The sequence below is a fragment of the Homo sapiens genome, chromosome 3 (assembly GCF_000001405.40).
Source record: "Homo sapiens chromosome 3, GRCh38.p14 Primary Assembly".
NCBI lineage: Eukaryota > Metazoa > Chordata > Mammalia > Primates > Hominidae > Homo > Homo sapiens.
In genome coordinates this window covers 143,276,409-143,297,288 of record NC_000003.12, presented here as the reverse complement: position 1 = coordinate 143,297,288, position 20,880 = coordinate 143,276,409, and the positions used below count along the sequence as shown (strand labels likewise).

The 20,880-nt window shown below is 42.2% G+C and overlaps 1 protein-coding gene across 4 annotated transcripts in view, besides 1 other annotated feature; it reads left to right on the top strand.

The window, feature by feature from the left end:
* SLC9A9 (solute carrier family 9 member A9) overlaps nt 1–20,880 on the top strand; it is a 583,247-nt gene that overhangs the window by 551,180 nt on the left and 11,187 nt on the right. Inside the window, exon 15 of one of the 4 annotated variants that reach the window (XM_017006202.3) lies at nt 12,947–17,233. The exons of the other annotated variants lie outside the window; for them this stretch is intronic. Within the exon in view, the coding sequence (XP_016861691.1) occupies nt 12,947–12,972 (26 nt within the window). The 3' untranslated portion in view covers nt 12,973–17,233. Of the gene's footprint in view, nt 1–12,946; nt 17,234–20,880 lie in introns of those variants that run through there. 4 annotated transcript variants of the gene reach the window in all.
* Nucleotides 2,658–2,717: an enhancer, noted in NCBI's record as "active region_20653". NCBI's record gives its function as "activates an Ori minimal core promoter by ATAC-STARR-seq in GM12878 lymphoblastoid cells {active_cell/tissue: GM12878}" and the evidence as "EXISTENCE:reporter gene assay evidence [ECO:0000049][PMID:35858748]".

The window sequence follows — 20,880 nt, the reverse complement described above, 5'->3', positions numbered from 1 at the left end:
CCACAATGGGGAAAGAAGACACTCTTTAATGAATAGCACTGGGAAAGCTTATATCCACAAGTGAAACAATGAAGTCAGATCCCTACACCACACACACACAAAAATCAACTCAAAATAAAGATTTAAATTCAGACCTGAAACTGTAAAACTCCTAGGAAAAAATATAGGGAGATATTTTCATGACATTTGTTTAGAGAGTGATTTCTTGGATATGACACCAGAAGTAAAAGCAACAAAAGTAAAAATAGGCAAGTGGGACTATATCACAGTCAAAGGCTTCTGCATGTAAAGGAAACAATCAGAGGGAAAAGACAACCTGTAGAATGGAAGAAAATATTTGCAAACTATGTATCTGATAAAGGGCAAATATACAAAATATATAAGGAACTCCTACAACTCAATAGCCAAAAAACACCCAATTTAAAAATGGGCAAAGGACTTGATATTTCTCTGAAGAAGACGTACAGATGACCAACAGGTATATAAAAAAAATGCTCAACATCACTAATAATCAGGGAAAGTCATATCAAAACCACAATAAGATATCACCTCACAGCAGGTAGGATGGCTATTATAAAAAAGAGAGAAAGATAACCAGTGTTGGTAAGAATGTGGAAAAATTGTAACCCTTGTACAGTGTTGGTGAGAATGTAAAATGGTGCGGATGCTATGGAAAACAGAACTACCATATGATCTAGCAATCCCACTTCTGGGTATATACCCAAAAGAATTGAAAGCAGAATTTCCAAAAGATATTTGCATCCCATGTTCATTGCAGCATTATTCACAATAGCCAAAGCATAAAATTGAGCTGTGTCCATCAGTGGATCAATGGATAAAGAAAATGAGGCATATACATACAATGCAATATTATTCAGCCTTAAAAAAGAAGAAAATCTTCCCATATGGGGCAACAAGAATGAACCTGGAGGACATTACACTAAGTCATATAAGCCAGTCACAAAAGGACAAATACTGCATGGTTCCACTTACATGAGGTATCCAAAATAATTAAACTCACAGAAAAAGAGAGAATAGTGGTTTCCAGAGGCTAGGGAGGGAGAAATGGGAAGTTGCTATTTAATTGGCATAGCTTCAGTTACACAAGATGAATAGTATCTAGGAAATCTACTCATCATTCATCATTGTGTCTACAGTTAACAATACTATTATTATGCACTTAAGATTTGTGAAGAGGGTAGGCCTCCTGTTAAGAATCCTTACCAAAATAATTAATTCAAGAAAAAAGTTATCCAGCTCTGATGGGCAATGCCACATTATTAACTATTGCAGGCACTTTAAACAGGAGTGATAAGAAAAGGAAGCAGGAAAGATCCACAATACCAGAAAGTATGGGGGCCCTCATTTCTGAAAGGGAGGGGTGCCATGAGCAGCTGTGTGAAAGGCTGTTAAGGGGAGAGCAGGAGACTTTGCATACTTCTGCTCACTTGTTCCACTGTGTATTATGAAAAGATGTTGCCATGTAATTACAGGTATATTGGAAATGGTCTGAAAGCACAATTAAAAGTCACTCAGCCAAGTGAAAGAGAGGGAAGGAAAGAAGGGAGAAATGACCTACAAGAGGGTGTAGGTGATGATAAAGGTTAGCTATGAGGATGGATATGAGAGGTTGAAGGCTCATTGTCAGTTAATGACATCCTCTGTGGGTTCGTGATAGGGGCAACCTTTCTTTAAGAAATGTTTTTCTAAGAATGTCTCAGAGTCAGTTAACATCTACTGAGTATAACCTCATGGACTATTTAATCATCTCCACACCATTCTTGTTCCCATGTATTAATAACAAAAGAGGAATCAGGTTCAGAGTGGTTAATGCGCTAGCCCAAGATCATAGACCTGATTACTGGAACGGCACGTTCTTGAATGCAAGTCTCTTCTAGTAGCTTTTACTGCTGTCTGCATCAGGAAAGCCACCTCAAAATGCCTACAGGGCAAGGAAGTCATGCAAATAACTTTGAGAAAGAGAAAAGAAACAAGTAACAGAGTGTAGTAAGGATTAATGGGAACCATGGCAAAGGGGAGAATTGCAGACATCTAAAGTGAATTGTTGCTACTCAGAACTCACTCTTACCTTTTAAGAGTGCAGTCTCAGTTGATCTGTCAGGAAAAACTGGAAGTCAGATTTTTACATAAACTCTCCTGTTTATTTTAACTTTTTGTCAAAACAATCTTAAACATCAGGCAGGAAAAACAAAACTAATCTGCAAACCAGATTCAGCTCATGGGCATGCCAGAGGTAACATCAGCTTTTTCTAAATCACTAATGCCAAATCATTAAATAAGATCATTTAGGACCCTCAGTGATCTTCTGATCAGGCTCTTCATTTTGCAGATAAAAATTTTGTGTCATAAGCATTAATTGAAATTATAAATATTAATCCTCATGATAATGTTATTTTACACATAATCCTATTTATTGCCTGGGCTATGTGTAGAAAGAACCTGCATGTTGACACATCAAGGTTGGAATCCCAGTCCTGAGCTGTGTGACCTTAAGCAAGTAATTTAACCACTCAGTTCTTTCATCTGCAAAATGGCAACACTGACTTGGGAATTTCAGTGGAAGTAAGATTTAAAAGGGGCAATTATTAGAAGTTATCATACACAAGGCCTATCAGAGGGAGCTGGCTCAAACCCCTAGTGGTTGCCACTGCCTACCCTCTACCCCTCCAGGCCCTCCTTTGTCTATAAATGTATTTTCTTGCATTATTTGGATAGCTAATTTAGGATCCAGTTGATTTCCTCACCAAGTTAATGTAAAATAGAAACTGGAACTTCTCATTTTGTCTGAAGCAGGCTCTTTTAATAGATTTCTATGCTGCCTTGTTGCATACGTATTGAGTGCCTTGCCTTGTCAAGATTTGAAAATGCACTGTAAGGACTTTAGCTTTGCCCTACTAAAGGTGTTGCTGTCAGTTGAAAGCAGACAGAAACCAAGGCTCCTAAACCGCTCCCCCTTCCTCCCTCAGTTGCCTAAATTCAGTGTGTGCTTTCGTGCTGTAAACAACAATTGCAAGAAAGAGTAGGCGATTTGGGTTTAGTTTCGTTTAGTTTTATTTGAGGTTAAGTGAATCCCACAACAATAAAAAATCAATACTGTATTTGGCCAGAAAGACATTATTAAAGCACCTAGATTAAATGGAACCTAAATAATAGTCCATTGATTTTTTTATCCAACTTTTTGTAATTTACTTTATAAGAAAAAGAATTATTCTCAGTGCACCAAGTGCTTGACTTAGGGCTCAGTATATTCTACAAAATTTTACATGAATTTATTTTTTATTATCTCATTGTATTTGTTCTATTTGTTTTTATAGATGTGTATGAGATTTATTTTTTTAACGCTGGTTCCTAATTCAATGCTTGGTTTTAACAATGAATACTTTCTGCAAGGGTTACAGAGACATTCAAAACATTGACTTTTGCTAAAAGATGGGATTCTTCAGTATTAGTAAATACTGTAGTATTCTTATTTTAAAATCTGATCATAGTGATTAAACCAGCTTTTGACTCTGAGACTACCCAATGCTTGAGTGTCACGTTATTCAAGAATTTCCAATTCCAGGCCAAATAAGACCCAGATAAGCTGTGATTGACAGTAACATGCTAAAATTCAGTCTCCAAACTCAATCCCAGATCATATTCAACAGAAAGTGAACTTCCACAATAATACCCAGTCCTCAGGTGTATTTCATTTTGAAAGTCCTCTTTCCTATAAGTACTGGCAATACTGAGGGCAATTATAGGGAAAATGCCAATTATGACAATATCAAAACAGCCATGGAATGATAAACAGTATGAATTAGTCTCTCCTGCCCAGCCATTTCCAAAAATTTCTGTTCATATCAGGTTTCATAGGAAAAGGTATGATTGCAAAGCTAACTTTATGTACACAATATTGATTTTTGGCTGAAGAAAGCCATATAATACTAAAATAAAGAATGAAGAATACATGCAGACGCACGTATCTGCCAGGCCACTTATTAAGCCCTGCCTGAACCAATGCATACAAGTAGGTCATTGAAAGTCACTGAAAACCGGGGCAGCTCCCCTGGCAGGAGATGTTAACCTGCAGGAGGAATCTTGCAGACAAGTGATACATTTCAGCTGAGCAGCTGTATATTTTATTTATGAATTGATATAAGCATAGAGGTATATAGGGAGAGGAATGCATATAATGCGTAACCTTAAACACACTCCAAAATAAAGATAGATGGGAGAAAGATTTATACCTACACATGCTCTAATTTAAAGGACAACCCTCTCTCCTTACTGCCCTGCCCCAACTCCCCAGTAAAAGAGAAATAAGAGCCTTAGTGTAATTAGTGTCTTTCTTATTTCCCCCAGCAGCGGCAGCATTAACCAGCCCCAGGCATGTGTCTCAGTTAAGACCACCTACGCTACAGCCAGAACAGTGTCATCAACGTGCAGAGGGATCGGGGATCATATATGCCACTTGGTCCAAAAGGCACCAAGGTCCTACATTTTGCAAGAGATCCTTAAAGGGTCATATCTCTCTTCCGAGGTGTCCACACAGCTGTGAGCCCATCTTAGAGAGTATAATACATGTTTGCATAGCATTATGGAAATGAGGTTGGGAAGGGACCTCATATCATTATGAGGGACCTTCCTATTACCATAGGAAGGGATTCTCTAATCCACACACCTCGTTTTATAGCTCTAGGACAACCTCCAGCTACAGGGGCTGCTCAGCAAACACAGGAGAGTAGAGGACCTCAGTGTGGTCAAGAGGTAACAGGATATAGGACATCGCGAAAAAAACATGGGCTCTGAATCTAGGCCGATTTGGGTTCAGATCTCAGCTGTATGCACCAAGGCAAATTCCCTAACTCTTCTGATACTCAATTTATTCATCTGTACAATGGAAATAGTAGTGTAAGTCCACAAGCTGTTATCTGTAGTTCAGAAATCCAAACAGTCCTGAAAACCAAAAGTGTTTCATAATTCATTTCATGCCAAATCTGACTGGAGCTGGAATTGCTTGGAGGTCAAACCTGACCTGAAGTAATATGAGGCTACACACATTATCATTATTTGTCCCATGGTAGCCAAGCACCATGTCAGCACCCAGCGAGGGGCTTCTATGCCAAATGTAAGGCCTCTGGCTCTGTGTCCTCATCCCACAAGCTCAATGGAGAGGCTTCTGCTGGTTCTAAAGCTCCTGGCTCATGGCCACTCATCCAGCTGGAGTAGCAGGTTAGACCAGGACAAGCCCAGAGAATGGCTCTTCTTTTTCAGAGCACAGGGCTATATGGGGGATTCCTCTCGGGCCCATCCCCACTGGCTTAGAGCAGAGGTGTAGGGTGAGAGCCCCTCCAGCTGGACTTATTTAAAACTCGTATTGGCTCAGCTGCAAAATTTCACTGTGGCATTTCCTGACTTTGCTCCTCTTTTTAAAACAGAAAAGGGACATTGGAAAAGGAGGAAATTCCACTTGTACCTTTATGGAGTTTTGTCATTCTGTAACATGTAATCAATTTGGAAAAAGGAATGGCACCTCAGACAGAAAAACTAAAAGTAAAGTGATGCTGCAAAAAATCTTTCAAGACAGACTTTTTAAACCTGGTCCATGGGAGCTGGATTTAAGTTCTGATTGTTATCTTTTTCCCCTCCATTACTAGGTATTTTAAGTTGGGTTTGTCCTTTCCTGATGTCTCCAGCCCAATAGCCTTTTCCTGCTCCTTTCTGAGTGCTGACCTGAGAGGCCCCCTGACTGTCCCCTTCGGGTGGAGAGACAGAACCCATGGCTTTGGCATATGATTAAGGCCAGCCTCACAAGTGGGTAGAGTGAGAGATGATGTGAGGGTATCATGGGCAGGTCCTACTCAGAATAAACCCTGCCTCCCGGCCTTCCACCACCTGAGCTCTTCTCCTTTGAGGCCGGAAAGGTTTTAGTCAGCAGGAACCATCTAAGGGAAATGTGGCTGGATGAGGCTAAGTCTCATCGGCTTAGCACTTCGACGAGCAGAAACTGACAGCCAAATCAGCTGGGAGTGGACACTGGGAAGGTGGGGACAGAACAGGGGATGATGACAAGGAGGGTGCTGCTCAAAGGGAGGGTGACGGCATGTGAAGGATGAGCTTTATCAACTTCCCTATTCTCCATGTCATTTTGGGCAGTCAGAATCCTCCCTGTTCCTAAGCCATCTGCAGTGCTGGCCTGGCAGAGTTGCGTGGCTTCACCCAATCCCAAGCACTTCCGCCCTCAGTTAAACATACAACATTCCAGGCCATATGCAACAAACATTTTTGAGCATCAACTGTGTGTCAGGTCCTTTTGCTAGGCACTGGGAAGAGATAAAGCATGGCCCTGCCTTTGAAAGACTCCAAGCTGTCACCTACATAGAGGTGTCAGGCAAAATGATTTTACTGATTCTCAAAGTAGGTTCCATAGTACATGAAGTCTGGGAGATACAGGGGATAGGTGCTGGATCTAAATTTAAGGAACAGTGTTTTTTTCACAGTGTTTAGAAAGGTCTCAGCAATAATGAAAGATGCTTAATTTTCATAACTTATTTTGGCCCAGAACCCATTTAACATCTATTAACGTAGTTGTCTGCCATGGAACACACTTTGGGACCCACTCTTCTGCTTTATTTCAGCCAGATGTGCTTTGGAATTCAGAATTTGGGGGGTGTTAGCAAGGCAATCTGATGTATCCTTTTTCTATGCTATGTGTGATGGCTGACAGCGTATCAGAGAGAAAACAGAAAAGGCCTAGCTCTGTGAGATATGGAGGCCTGCAGGCAGTGTTTACAGACACGTAGCTTCCCATCAGACTCAAATCTGGGAATGTGTGACCAGATTCCTGTTGTTTCAGCCACATTCATCCCTGTGCTCACTTATTTAGCAAATATGTATTGAACATAAACTATGGAAGCAACTATATTAAAAACTGGTCATTCCCTGTCATCAAGGAACTTGCAGTCTGCCAAGTGAGGTAGGGGAGGCCTGGCAGGTGTGACAAATGCCATGATTAGGGAGTGACCACACATCCTGGTTTGCCTTGGACCATCCCATTTTATGCCTATTATTTATGTACAGTATGTACAGGTGCCCCCTTTAACTCTGTCCTAGTTTTGACAATAGATTACATGGTTTCCCTCCTCCCCCTGAGTTATATTGGGTGCAGGCTGTAGAAGACCATAGGAGGGAGGGTCAGGGAAGGTTTCTCAGAGCATCTGACCCTTGAGTTCTGAATTACTGAGGATAAGATAGCTAGGGACAGTGGTGAAGTCCACACTAAGGGGAAGAAGTAGCAAGTACAAATGATGAGCAGAGAGAGGAGTCAACACATGCAGTTACGAAGGAGACATGTCTCAGGGTAAGGAGTTTACACTCCTTCTAAGGGCCACAGGAAGCTTTTGATGGTGTTGTAAGCAGGGAGTCCCATGATCTGGTCAGCATTGCAGAAGAACCTCTCTGGCTATGAATGGGAGGGGAGGTGGAGCAGGGAGCTGGCCCCATCAGCAGAGCCCCTAGACCAGTGAGAAGGTGGTTGCAGCCACCTAAGGGAGGGGTGCTGGCAGCAGCTGTGGGATAAAGGGAGTAGATGGATGAATAGATGGATGGACAGATGGGTAGATGGATAGGGGAGGTCTTTGGCAGGTGGAGTAGACAGAACTTATTGATGGATGGATTGACTGTTGTGCAGAAGGGAGAGGAAAGAGTTGGAGGTAGCACCCATGCTTGAGCATGAAAGTGGATGATGACATGTTCAATGAGACAGGGGGCATGAGAGGGAGAAACAGATCTGGGAGAAAGCGATACAGTGAGCTTCGTTTTGGACAGGACAAATATAAAGTGCTCTTGCTGCATCTCTGAGAGTCCTTAGCCTTCGCCAGAGCTTCAGGGCTGGAAGGGTAAAGACAAAGGGACATTTAAAAAAATAATGGTTCAGAAACATTCTTGAAACTAAATGAAACAAAAAGCCAAGTCAAACTGTACCGGAGCAGCCTTGTTACTGGCACGATGAATCACTGGCTGCTGTTGTTTGGGAGGCAGTGAATTGAGCCTCCAATGCTAAGCTCCTCTGTTTAGCCCCACAACAGAGCTGGTGTAGACAAGGGCCCTGTAAGCATCCCTCCCACCCATGCTAATTACAGAGCCCTTGGCCTCCTGTCATCCCTACCACTGACAGCTCAGCTGTCATCAGGTGGTCTCAGTCCTGCCTCAGGCTAAAATGGGTTTAAAGTCTGACAGTGGATGCTCTCAGTCATTCACAAGCTCCCTAAGTCAACCACCAGCCATGTCTGTTCACTTGCCACTGCTTCCCTGTGCACCAGACATACCAGGGAGCATTTTACAGTCTGGAAGCAGGGGGCAATGGGATCTGTTTTGCCTTAGGTAAGAGGGTATTAGAGCTTTAACTTGCTTTGATAGTCCTTGGATCTTCCAGTGTCATTTGAAGTCCTCTAGTCTTCTATCTGACCATTTTTAGCTGTATGTCCTTGGCCTCAAGTTTTATTAATATTATTCATCTTGATCATGGTCTGAGAAATTAAAGTGACCACATTTCTGTAATGATCCTACTCTTTCCAAGCAAAGAAGAAAAATGTCTTTGTGGAACATCACTGCCAATAGGGCTCTGCTTGGTAGATGGTGCTGTAGGAGGAGGCATCTGCTCTCTATAGCAATCATGAAATCATCGTACCTACAACCAGCTGGGTCAGTGACCAGAATGAGCCCAATGTCTAGAACCTGAGCCAGCTGAAGATGTATTATTTGCCCCCCAAAGTCTTCCTTTTGTAATTCAGAGGACCAGCCTTTGTATACAAAGCAAGAAAATTCAGGTTTCCTTTCTAAGTTGTTAAAGTGATCCAGGGCCAAGGGCAGTCTTTTAAAGAGATCCTAAAAGAACTCTTGGACCCGAAAATGCGAACAAGTAGAACCTGAGCTGCGTATTTATACTTAGCAGTCCCAAGAAACCTATGGGCATTTGGATTTTATAATGTGATATGTTCTTTGGTTTTGTTTTGTTTTTTTTTTTAATAACTGGAGCCCAGGCTTAGCTTTTTTTTCCCTATACTCTATGTATAGCTGAAATTACAATCATCATAATCAAGCATTTAAGCAAACAAAAATAATCATTTGAAGGCTATTTTCCATAAGCTCTTTAGTTCTCAATTCACTACAATTCCGTTCAGAAGGAAATGTTCCATTTTTTCCTATTGTAGTATTGTCAGCAGTAGAAGCAATGACCAGTTCTCCACATTTAAAATTAATTCCACTTCAGCTTTTCTGAATAAAAACAAATTGATCAAAAGCCTAAATTTTTTTTCCAGGAAGACTTTTTTTCTCTACAGACCAGAATCTACTGGAGAATACCATCCTAGTTATACTGAAAGTAAGCAGTTGGTGTAATTTTGAGCCCTTCTTGAAAAATCAAATTGCTTATCTCTGAGAAATTTTTTAATCTCTAAAATCCCCTTTGCAGTTCACTTCATGTGAATGCTCCTCTTCACCCCGGCCATTCCTAATTACAGTGAGAAGGTCTGTAGGTGTAACAATTCTATGAATTCACTGTTATTCCATTAGCACTGAAGGACAAGGTGCTGAGCAGAAAATGGGAAAGTAATTGTACTGGACTTCATGAATAGCAGCACTGGGAATTATTCCAAACCCTAAGGGAACAGTTATATAGTCAGCTCCTTCATTGTGTGGGCAAAGAAACAGAATTTGCTAGAATAACTCAGAACAATGGACGATCTGCTCCAGGTTCTTTCAGCTTCAGTAACCTGTGAATCATACAAATGAGACAGAATCATAAGAGAAGCTACCAAAGGCAAGCAGTGGAATGGAGACTTCCAGAGTATAAAGATGGGGTAAAGGAATTTGGTTGTTGTTTTTTTTTCCCTTCTTGTCCATAGCACTTTTTGATGTCTACCCCATAATAGACTATTTCGAGTCATCAAATAAATCAGTTTGCTTTATTAGTGAGTTTCTAAACTGGCAAAGCAAAACCTTTACCCAGGATGTGAACTTACCAAGCCAAAGCTCAAACTACAAAATAGGGAATGTTATCAGCTTTTGCTACCTCCTCCCAGTCAGTGCAGATCTTGAGCTGTCTTGCTGAGCATTCTTGGGCCTTCCCCACTTGCCAGCAGTTATTCTGCACCCCGCTCCACACACACACACACACACACACAAGTGGGACCAGAAGGAAGGAGGAGGGAAAGTGTCTCAGATAATCCAAGCTTTGAGTTCTGAATTACTGAGGAAAAGGTACGTAGGGACAGTGGTGACCAAGGTACTGAGACAGAGAAGGGTCTGAGACATGGAGAGTTTTGCTGACGCACACCTCGTGAGGTCCAGAACTAGTGGAGCCTCATTTTGCTTTAAGATTCCTAATGACATGGGCTATCATGACCCAAAGGTGACCTGCACTGGTACCAGTTTCACAGTCTGTCAGACACTAGGAAGTATTATGCTAAAAAGTTTGGTGTTAATCTGAGTTATTTGCTTCCTGGGGAAAGCACCAGAAGATGCCATTCTGAGGGTTATCTGCAGGCATTGAAATCTGGTGTGATTGCTTTCCAGCTCCACCTAGATCTAGAGCCACATCCCTAAACTGGGAAGAATCAACAGAAAAGAACATAGCCCCACAGCACAAAACAATGGCAGCTTTAGTCTGAGCAAGAACATTCTGTGAGGCCCCAGCTGAAAGGCAGGTTGGGATTTGGAAGGAATGTCACCAGGCAGTAAACAAGAATGATCTGGGAGACCCTGGCCTCTGCCTGTACTGAGAATGCCTTGGACTCCTTTCAGAATGTCAGATTTATTCCAAGAGCTCTGAATGGCATCGGGCTCCTGTGACCCTGCAAAGCCAATAGAAGGAGCTCTGAAATGCTTGGCTTGGCCTTCTCCAAATCTGCAGGAAGGTCACAGCCTGTATGTCCATCAGGTCTGTGTGCACCAGCCCAAGGCTTTACCAAAGCTCTCAAGTAGGTCCTGGGAAGGTTTATTGAGACCCCCACCCCTTCCTACCACTACTGCCTCCAGAGCACACATATACCCTCCTTCGAAAGCACTCTTAAAATCAGCAACAGAAAAAGGAAGCCCAATTAGGAGAAAATAACTAGCATTCAGTCAGCAGATGGCATATGGAATATGAAAATTTCCCAGCCTCTAAAACCATCACCTTTTCCATGACCTTGACCTCCCTTTTTTTGGTTGAAAGAGAAGAGAATCTTTCAGCTCTGGGCATATTACTAACCCTGATATTCCAGCCTTTCCTAGGCTCTGGTTTATAAACCACATCCCATACTTCCTCAACTGTATTCTAATTACTAAAATGCTCAAAACACCCGGCTCATGAATAGAACCTCCTCAAAACTTTAATAGAAAGCAGGGAGAAAGAGTTCTCAGCTCCTGTTCCATGGTCCTCTCCCCTTCTTTTTCCTTAAAACAACCTGGACACCTGTGGCAAAAATATTAACACTGCAACCATTGCAAATGGAAGTCTCTAATAACCCCTCCCCGCCATAGAAAATCTTTACTAACAAATTGCAGCTAGTTCTGCTCCCAACCAATCCGAGCCCCATGAATCATGCCACTGAGCTCCCAAGTTATTGTCAACTGGGTTGACAGCCTCAGGTATGATGCTGCTGAAGCATCCTCAGAGAATGCAGAGAAGTGGAGGTCTTTTCTCAGAGGAGGCTCTGTAAACTCTTTTCAAGCCTAGGGAAGGGATCATGCTGCACTGAGCTCCAGAGTTAAAGAGGGGGCATGTTAGACTACAGTGCTGCAGCCTATGTTCACATCCTGGCTTCACCACTTCATACTTATGTAGCCATGGCTGGCTCCTTTGCCTCCCCATGCCTCAGTTTCCAGACCCATAAAATGAGGATAATGATAAAACTATCTCCTAGGATTAAAGGAGATTTTTCATGTAAAGTACTTAGCACAGAGCTTCCAATACAAATGCCAGACACCATTAATAGTGTAGTTCTAATGAGAACACATGGACACAGGGCAGGGAACATCACACACCAGGGCCTGTTGGGGTGTGGGGGGCTAGGAGAGGGCTAGCATTAGGAGAGATACCTAATGTAAAAGACAGGTTGATGGGAGCAGCAAACCACCATGGCACGTGTGTACCTATGTGACAAACCTGACGTTCTGCACATGTATCCTAGATTTAAAAATATATAGTATAGTTTTGAGCCAGAACATCAGAGAGTTGAATAGACTTTGGGGACAAGAATAGCAGGAGCTCATCCATAGTATGGATGGAATAGTGTGGAAAGAACCATTGATATCAGCACATATTTACCTTCCCTAGCCCCATTTGTGATATATCAATAGGAATATCAAAGGTATTTGAAACTTCATATAGAGCTGTCTGTATCATTTTGTCATAAGTATTGCTGGGCTTGGAAGATTACCCATAAACGACGACTTCATTGTGGGGTAGGGGAAGCCCCTGAACACGTGACTGAACAGCAGGGACCCTCCCAGCATTGCAGGCTGGTTCCCATAAGACTTCAAGTTTTTTGAAAAAGTATTTAAATGATTAGGAGAATGTTTAGACACTGAGGTACTATTAGGTTGAAGTGGAAATCTCATAAGATCCAGTTTCCTTTCTAAATTCTAGTTTCCTAAGACTCAGGTTGAGTTAAAAATGTCTACAAAGAAATTATATTTTAGAAACTGGTATTATATTATATTATATTTTAGAATACTTCCCACCCATGGCCACTACGGTAGTAGTGGGATATAAATGAGGGAAAATTCTCCATCCTGCTAAAATATTTAGAGACGAATTCTGGCTGAAGGTCACAATCAATTCAGCCTTCCCAATTCCTGAGGGTGATTTCAAATTTGGTTTCAAAAAAAAAAAAAAATAGAAAGGGCCAAATCCCACAGAAATTTCTGGAGCTGGCATTAAATGAATCTTCTTTCACAGAACTCCTAACAGCAGTTGGATATTAACAAGGAGAAAAGAACAATTATCATTTGGGACTCCAAGTGCCACTTTATGTCACTTTAAAGAATGAATAGACTTCCAGCTCCACTCAGCTGCCTGTTCACAGTTACAAAGCAATGGTAAATAATCGTAAGTAAATGGAAGGTGTGATTTAGGAGGGTGAAATAGTATAACGACTCGATGCTTTCTCTTGCTTTTCTGTGGCAAGGCAAGCAGGACAGCTCCTGCCACGGGTTTGGCTTAAATCTGGATCTGTGACTTACCAAATTAAAAAAAAAAAAAAGGTCCTGGAACTATTTATTAAAGTGGACACACAACAAACTACCAAAACATTATTTTTACAAGGAGAGAATGATCATATCATGAGTCATGGTTTAATTTGCTCTCTAGTGGTTTTATTTAACCAAAGGATCATACCTGTTCGTGCCAATAAAACTTGAGTGGTTTTAATAGAAAGTACATCTTTCCATTTTCTCAGCCATGCCAGTTTACAAGGAGCCATCTGAGCTCTACTCCTGAGAAGATGTGTTGATATGGTGGATATGGGCAGGACTTTCCGTTTGCACTCATAATTCACCCCAAAGGGAGGTTTTATACTCACTCTGAAAGGGGTCTAGACCTCAGCCAGTGAAGGCTTTGATCTTGGGCCTGAAACCATCTTATCCAAACACACATTCATTTAATCTTGCAACTCAAGAGTGACGCACCCTTCCAAAGTGGTTTGGGAGGACCAAGGGGACAGGGTTGGGGCTTGCAGGAGAGACTCACAGATATGCCTGAGGAGCCAGTTATCTGTGATACCCAGTCTCAGGAGAGCAGCTTTGCCTCTCAGTGAGGCTGGAGGGCAATGTAAAGCATTTCTAGTGCAGGCAGTCTCCTCTAGGGCTTTCCAGGGGGAGTGAGATTGTATATACAGGAAAGTATAAGGGCAAACAAGAACTGCCCTAGGGAAATCCAGACAGGCTGAGATCCATGGCTGCTGTTTTTCCCACCTTTCCTTCCAGTGTCCAGCCCAGTGCCCACCCGTCTCCTACACCCCTGTCCCTAAGGCCACCGTCTTGTGCCATTTCCTGACTATATTACTATCAACTAAGTCCAAAATAAGGTGGAGGTTTCAGATAATACCTTTCCCAGAAGAATTTGTATGTTAACATAAAGCCCTAAATCCCTTTCAAGTCTCAATTCAACAAACATTGAGGAGACTCATTTCTGCCTACTGGGCATTAAGCATTTGTGGAAACAAAGAGGAAAGAGACTTGCCCCTCCCTCAAGGAGCTCACAGTCTAACAAGAGAGGAGATATATAGTCAAATAATTCTGATATAATCAATGGAAACAGAAAGGTCTGTGGAAACCCCAGTGAAGAAATTCCTGTGTTTGTCACAGGAATAGTGACAAAGAAGAGGTACTATTTGAATTGGGTCCTGGATCCAGTATCCATTAGGATTATGTCTGACTATGTATAACAGGAAAATCCAAATAACCATGGATTAATGAAAATAGTGGTGTTTAATCTCACTAAAAGAAGTCTGGTATTAGACAATCTATGTATGGTTAACAGAGCTCCATGATGCCACCACAGTCCTATCTTTCTTCTTTATCTTTTTATATAGCTTCTATCCTCAAGTTTGCTTCTTGGGCCCAAAATGGCTGCTGGAGCTCCAGAGAGTCCATTACCATTACAATTCCAGACAGGAAGGCAGAAAGGGCAGAATTGATGCTCTGAGAGGCTTCTCTAGAATTCCACTCAAGAACTTCTATTTCATTGGCCACCCATTCTGAGGAAATAGAACACCTCCATAGATTCAGGCTTATATTGTAAGGAGGAGAGGGAGACTGGATATTGAGTAGGTAAGTAGCAATCTATGCAACAGGCTTCAAGCATAAATGGGGCTTCCCAGAAAGACAAAGTGAAGAAGGACATTTCTGGTAATAGGAACAAAACATGCAAAGATAAAAGTCTGTAAAGTATTTGGTGGGTATTGGAAACTCAATAGTCTAGAAAGGCCTTCCAGGTCAACCTTAGTAAATCTTATTTTTCTGAGTGGGTTGTGGGTTTGGGGGGGTATGTGTTGTGGTTATTGCTGATGTGGAACCCCACCATGAATAAAGGTAAGAGAAGCAACTCTGGTTCAAAGTGCAACAGGAAGAGAACTGTACTTGAATAATTAGAATGTAAGAGAGAGTGACAAGTCCTAAGAGAGTGGTAACTAAAAGATCAATAGTACTTCACAGGCAATGACAGTAGAGCTATATTGAATGGATTTAGGATTTCCAAGTGCCAAGCTGAAAGGAAAAGCTGTCCAAATGGAGGGAACAGCATTTGCAAAGGCCCAGAGAGATAGTGAAACATAAGTGACATTGAGCCTGATTCCCCTTTATCAGAAACTAAAGTTTGTGAAACGGTGTGGGGAATGAGATAGGAAAGGTAAGTGGGGCAGGATCAGTGGAGGACAGTGCAGTTCTAGTATCTAGCAAGGACGTAACCGTGATGGAGGCCTCTGATCTCAACCACTTGAGCAAAGTAGCAGCAATCATGCCTTTGTACTGCAGTTTCTTTTAATAAAAGTAGGATGCACTTGTAGTCTGGATTCTCAAGGCACATAGGCCTATTGACAAAACACAGGATCCATGAGGCCTGAATCTTGATCTAAAGTCCACCACTCAGTTTTGGACTAGTCCCTGCTGCCTCCCCTGCCAAAGCATTTGCAATCTAACTCTCTGTAGTCACACACACTGTGTAGTCCTCAAGTCAACTCATCCCAAAGAGTTGGGACCCTGAGGGAAGGCAGTGCTAGTATGTGCTCTCCGTCTTCTGTGGTGCTCCCTGTCTCCACTTTGGTGCTACAGATGTGGCCAATTCTGTGGGAGAATGATTTTTAAACTGTATGTGACTACCCATAATGGGTCATGGAATCATTTAGGTAACTCAGAACCAGCATTTTTTTTAATGAAATAGAATACTGTATTAGAATAGGTTAGACTACACTGTGGTAAACATTTCTAAACTCTTAGTGGCTCATCAAGCAAAGTTTTATTTTCTCTCAAAGGCTGCTAAGGATGTGGTGATTCTCTAGGGCAAATGTCCTCCATGTAGCAACTTAGTGATGCAAACAGCTCTGATCTGTGGCTTTACCACCTTCACCGGAGGCCTCCCTGGGTCACTGTAACAGGGAGAGGGTCAGCCTGCTGGCTTCCTGTGTTTCAGTGTAGAAGTGATGCTATCCCTTTATAACCATAGCACATTGGCCAGAATTAGTCCTAGAGCCGCACCTACTTCAGGCACCTGAAAGAAGAGAGCTGGATATTGGCAGATACTAGCTAGCAATGTCCAGTATAAACAGAGTAGAAGACAAATGGAATGGAACAGAATATATCTAAGTGCATCACAGAAGGATTTTAGAGTTATATGTGTGTGGTTGAGAAAATGTTGAGGCATGTACTAAGTAACAATTGTAAAATGTATTTCTGGCTAGGCGCGGTAGCTCATGCCTGTAATTCTAGCACTTTGGGAGGCCAAGGCAGGCAGGTCACCTGAGGTCAGGAGTTCGAGACCAGCCTGTCCAACATAGTGAAACCCTGTCTCTACTAAAAAAATACAAAAATTAGCTGGGCATGGCAGCGGGAGCCTGTAATTCTAGCTACTGGGGAGGCTGAGGCAGGAGAATCGCTTGAACTTGGGGGCAGAGGTTGCAGTGAGCCAAGATGGCACCACTGCACTCGCCAGCCTGGGCAAAATCAAGTGAAACTCCACCTCAAAAAAAAAAAAAAAAAAAAAAATGTAGTTCTAGGTAGAGGCCAGATGTTTTAAAAAGGCTTCAAAGGGACTACATCTGAGGAAAAAAGTATGTCTAGGAGGAGAAGAGATTTGTGACATGTGACCCTATAAAGACAAAGGGCTCTCCTTGTGTCTGCTCAAAGAAAATAAGTTTCTGAAGTCTCCTGAACAGTCTTCATTCCATAGCTCAAAAATAACCCAGTGTTACATACCTGGATTCGTATAACAAACTCAATGGGTTACAGTCAACATTGCTGGGGTGGGAAGTGTGTGTGTATTCATTTTGTTCCCTAAAAGAGCTGCAGGGCATGCATTCTAACGAATTTGCTAAATGGCCAGGAGTCCATAGAGTTTGGGAAAGTTAGAAGGTGGCCTCAAGAACACCCAGGGACCGGAGAAACAAACATAAGAAAGGGGAGTTCTAGGCAGGCCCTGGTGACTCATGCCTATAATCCCAGCACCTTGGGAGGCTAAGGCGGGAGAATTGCTTGAGCACAGGAGTTCGAGACCAGCCTGGGCAACATGACAAAACCCTGTCCCTACAAAAAAAATTAAAAATTCACTGGGTATCATGGCACATGCCTGTAGTCCCAGCTACTCGAGAGGCTGAGGGGGGAGGATTGCTTGAGCTCAGGAGGTCGAGGCTGCAGTGAGCCATGATTGTCACTGGACTCCAGCCTAGTGACAGAGCAAGACCCTGTTTTTTTTCTTAAATAAAAACAAAGGCTGCTCTAAGGTGACATTAAAAATCTAATGCCCCATATATACCATGAAATACTACGCAGCCATAAAAAAGGATGAGTTCATGTCCTTTGCAGGGACATGGATGAAGCTGAACAGCATCATTCTCAGCAAACTAACATAGGAACAGAAAACCAAACACCGCATGTTCTCACTCATAAGTGGGAGCTGAACAATGGGAACACATGGACCCAGGGAGGGGAACATCACACACTGGGGCCCGTTGAGTGGTGGGGGATTTAGGGGAGGGATAGCATTAGGAGAAATACCTAATGTAGATAACGGGTTGATGGATGCAGCAAACCACCATGGCACGTGTATACCTATGTAGCCTGCACATTCTGCACATGAATCCCAGAACTTAAAGTGTAATAAAAAAATTTAAAAATCTGATGCCCAACATGAAGACACCCACCTTCTAAGTAAACACCTCACTTGTGTGGAAACATGGGTCATTCCTATGGCAGGACCCTAATTGTGTAAGTTCTCACTTGAAATCTTGCTGTGAAACTGTGACATCAGTCATGAAACAATGAGCAGTGCCTCCCTGGTACCTCTATGTGGGGCACTGCTCTGAGAAGAGAAGCAAACCTTCAGGGAAAAACTTGGCAATATTTTTCCTAGGGCTCCAGAAGCCAGAAGAAGAATGTTATGAACACTGCAGGGCATGTGGAAGGTGTTATATTAGTAAATTGACTTGGGATGGTTGAAATATATCTCTGAAACCTGTAACTCAAGGGACACAGTGAAAAAAATGTTAGCTAACGTTTATAGAATGCTTATTATGTGCCCAGAACTGTGCTAGAAAGTATATCTTCTCCTGTATGAGGCCACTCCTGTTAGTTAGTTCCATTTTTTGTGGTCAAAGAGCTCAGGAAGTTTGCCTACTTGTAGATAATAAGTACAGAGCTATGCTTCAAACTCAGCTTGTCTTTTAACTGCTACAATTAAAAAAAATACAGAAAACTTGGGATTACTTAGAAGTAGCAAGGTGTTCTGAGCTGAACTGTTTCTTCCAACAAAGGCATGTTGAAGTCCTAACCCCCAGTACCTCAAATGCAACCTTATTTGCAAATAGGTTCACTTATATATGTAGTTAAGACAAGGTCGTGCTGGAACAGGGCGGGCCCCTAAGCTGACATCACTGGTTTGCTTGTAAGAAGGTGATCATGTCAAGACATAGAACACCCTGTGAAGACAGAAATAGAGATTGGAGCGATGCGTCTACCAGCCAGGGAACACCAAGGATTGCTGGCCTCAGAGCCTTCAGAAATATTGGATTTAGCCTCTAGAACTGAGACAATAAATTTGCAGTTTTAAGTCACTCAGTTTGTGTACTTTGTTATGGCAGCCCTATGAAACTAATAGACAAAATAATTACAATCTCCAAATAATTACCAAACCAGATCTAACACAGCATCTAGCATCTCCTTAGTAATGAGAAAAATCTAGGCATAAAGCTTTGAAGACTTTGGCTCAAACTGAGCAGCAGTCACAGCAGCTAGACCCCCAGCCCTTTGCGTTTTGTGTTTGCCGTCTTCCTCCCCGTGTAAGCACTGAAGGTAGTTTCCTCTTTGACTTAGTGCTCTGAGAATCCGAACCTGTGGGGCCTACACTGCAGTTGCTGGTGCAGACATAATGGTTCCTATCTTTTCAGAGGCAGGAGATGATTATGCATCTCCCTGGGATCCTTGCCCATGAGTTCATGTCCTCTGCACGGACATGGATGAAGCTGGATACCATCATTCTCAGGCACACACTCCATTTTGGGAGCCAAGCGGGGGACCCAGCCCCAGGGAGTATGGGATGAGCTGCCACCCTTATCTTAAGTGTGAGCTCTGGGGTAGCTAGCTAAAACTCTAGTGCTTATAGGACTACATCCAGTCAGTGTTGGGAGCAGAAATCAAGTGGAAATTTTTCCCCAAACCAGAGAGAAGACTTGGAACGGAGGAGCACAGTTGCTTCTCAGAGTTCATTTCTCCAACAAATTGTCAGGGAAGTGACCTTCAAAGGCCTGTTGTCAAAGTCACCACAAGCTAACAGAGGGCATCTAGGTCTGGTGGCACTTCCTCTAACCAGAAAGCCACTAAAAGCCAAGGCTCACTCTATGCAAGTGGCAGCAGCATTCTTCGCCAGAAATGTTTTCTTTCAAAACAACTTGAGCCAAATGTAACACTATCCATATGGCACAAATGGATTTTATCTGTATCTGGTAGGTGGCAAAGATCCCTGGAAATCTTTTGATCTGTGTGTCCAAAGGGAAAAGTTATAAAGACCTAATAGTGGTAAAATTTATATTGTTACCATGGCACTATGCAGTTCATAGATGCAACACTTCCCAACTCAGAGCCTTTCAAGAGACCAGATACCATTCTGCTCCAGTGGTTTTCAGAGCATTGTTGAAATGCAGATTACTAGGTCCTGCCCAAGGATATTAGCTTCAAGGCCCCAGGAATGGTATTTAACAAGCACAAGAGGAAATTCTGATGCAGCTGGTCGGGAGACTACACTTAGGGAAACACTGGGTTTCGACTTTCTTCTGTATTAAGATCCAAGGATATAGATCAGATGAACTCTCAGGTTTCCTCCAGCCTCATGATTCCAATATGGCCCCTTGTTTATCTTGTGTCCATCTGCCCTACTTAAGCTGGTTGCTTTGGTATCCTAGAACCACTTTCTTTCCTTTAACTTTTCCAACCAACTCCACTGCCCTTTCTCTGTCCCTTGATTGCCTGGCTGGCTCTGAGGAGCCAAGTAGAGTTATCTTAACATTTGATAGGTAGATGCTATAGATATCATTGCTAAAACCAACTCCCAATACCACTAAGATACTAAGCATACCACTTTATCAGCCTTTAATCTGCCCTCATTATTAATACTTAATCATCCCTGACCAGAGTTTCCTAACTCAGGTCTCTAGGGGTTTATGGATGGGTTTCAAGGCATCTGAAAACTCTCTGAAATGTCATGTGAAATTGTATGCAAATAACATGCATGTAGGCAGTTTTTTTGGAGGTTTTTTTTTTTAGACAAAACTCTACAGCCAGGGAAGGTTAAGAACCATGGTTTCAGATATCATCTGACTCATATAGGAGTTGTGATATAGGTTGTTCATTTTGATAATTCTAAGCTACATTGTTTGACTCATGGACAGTTCCTAGTCAGCTTAAGAAGCCCCTACAGAAAACAATATCAAAATCTACCTAGATCATGTTTCTCCTATTCCTTGGTAATATGCTAGACACTTTACTAATCAACAAAGATAGAAGATCAGATAAAATGCAATTCCTAGAAGATGGCACTGACATCACAAGCATAATCTTTCAATCCCTCCAAATCCCTACATAGAAACAGGCAGAACAATTAAATAACAAAACCAAAAACCCAGAGACACA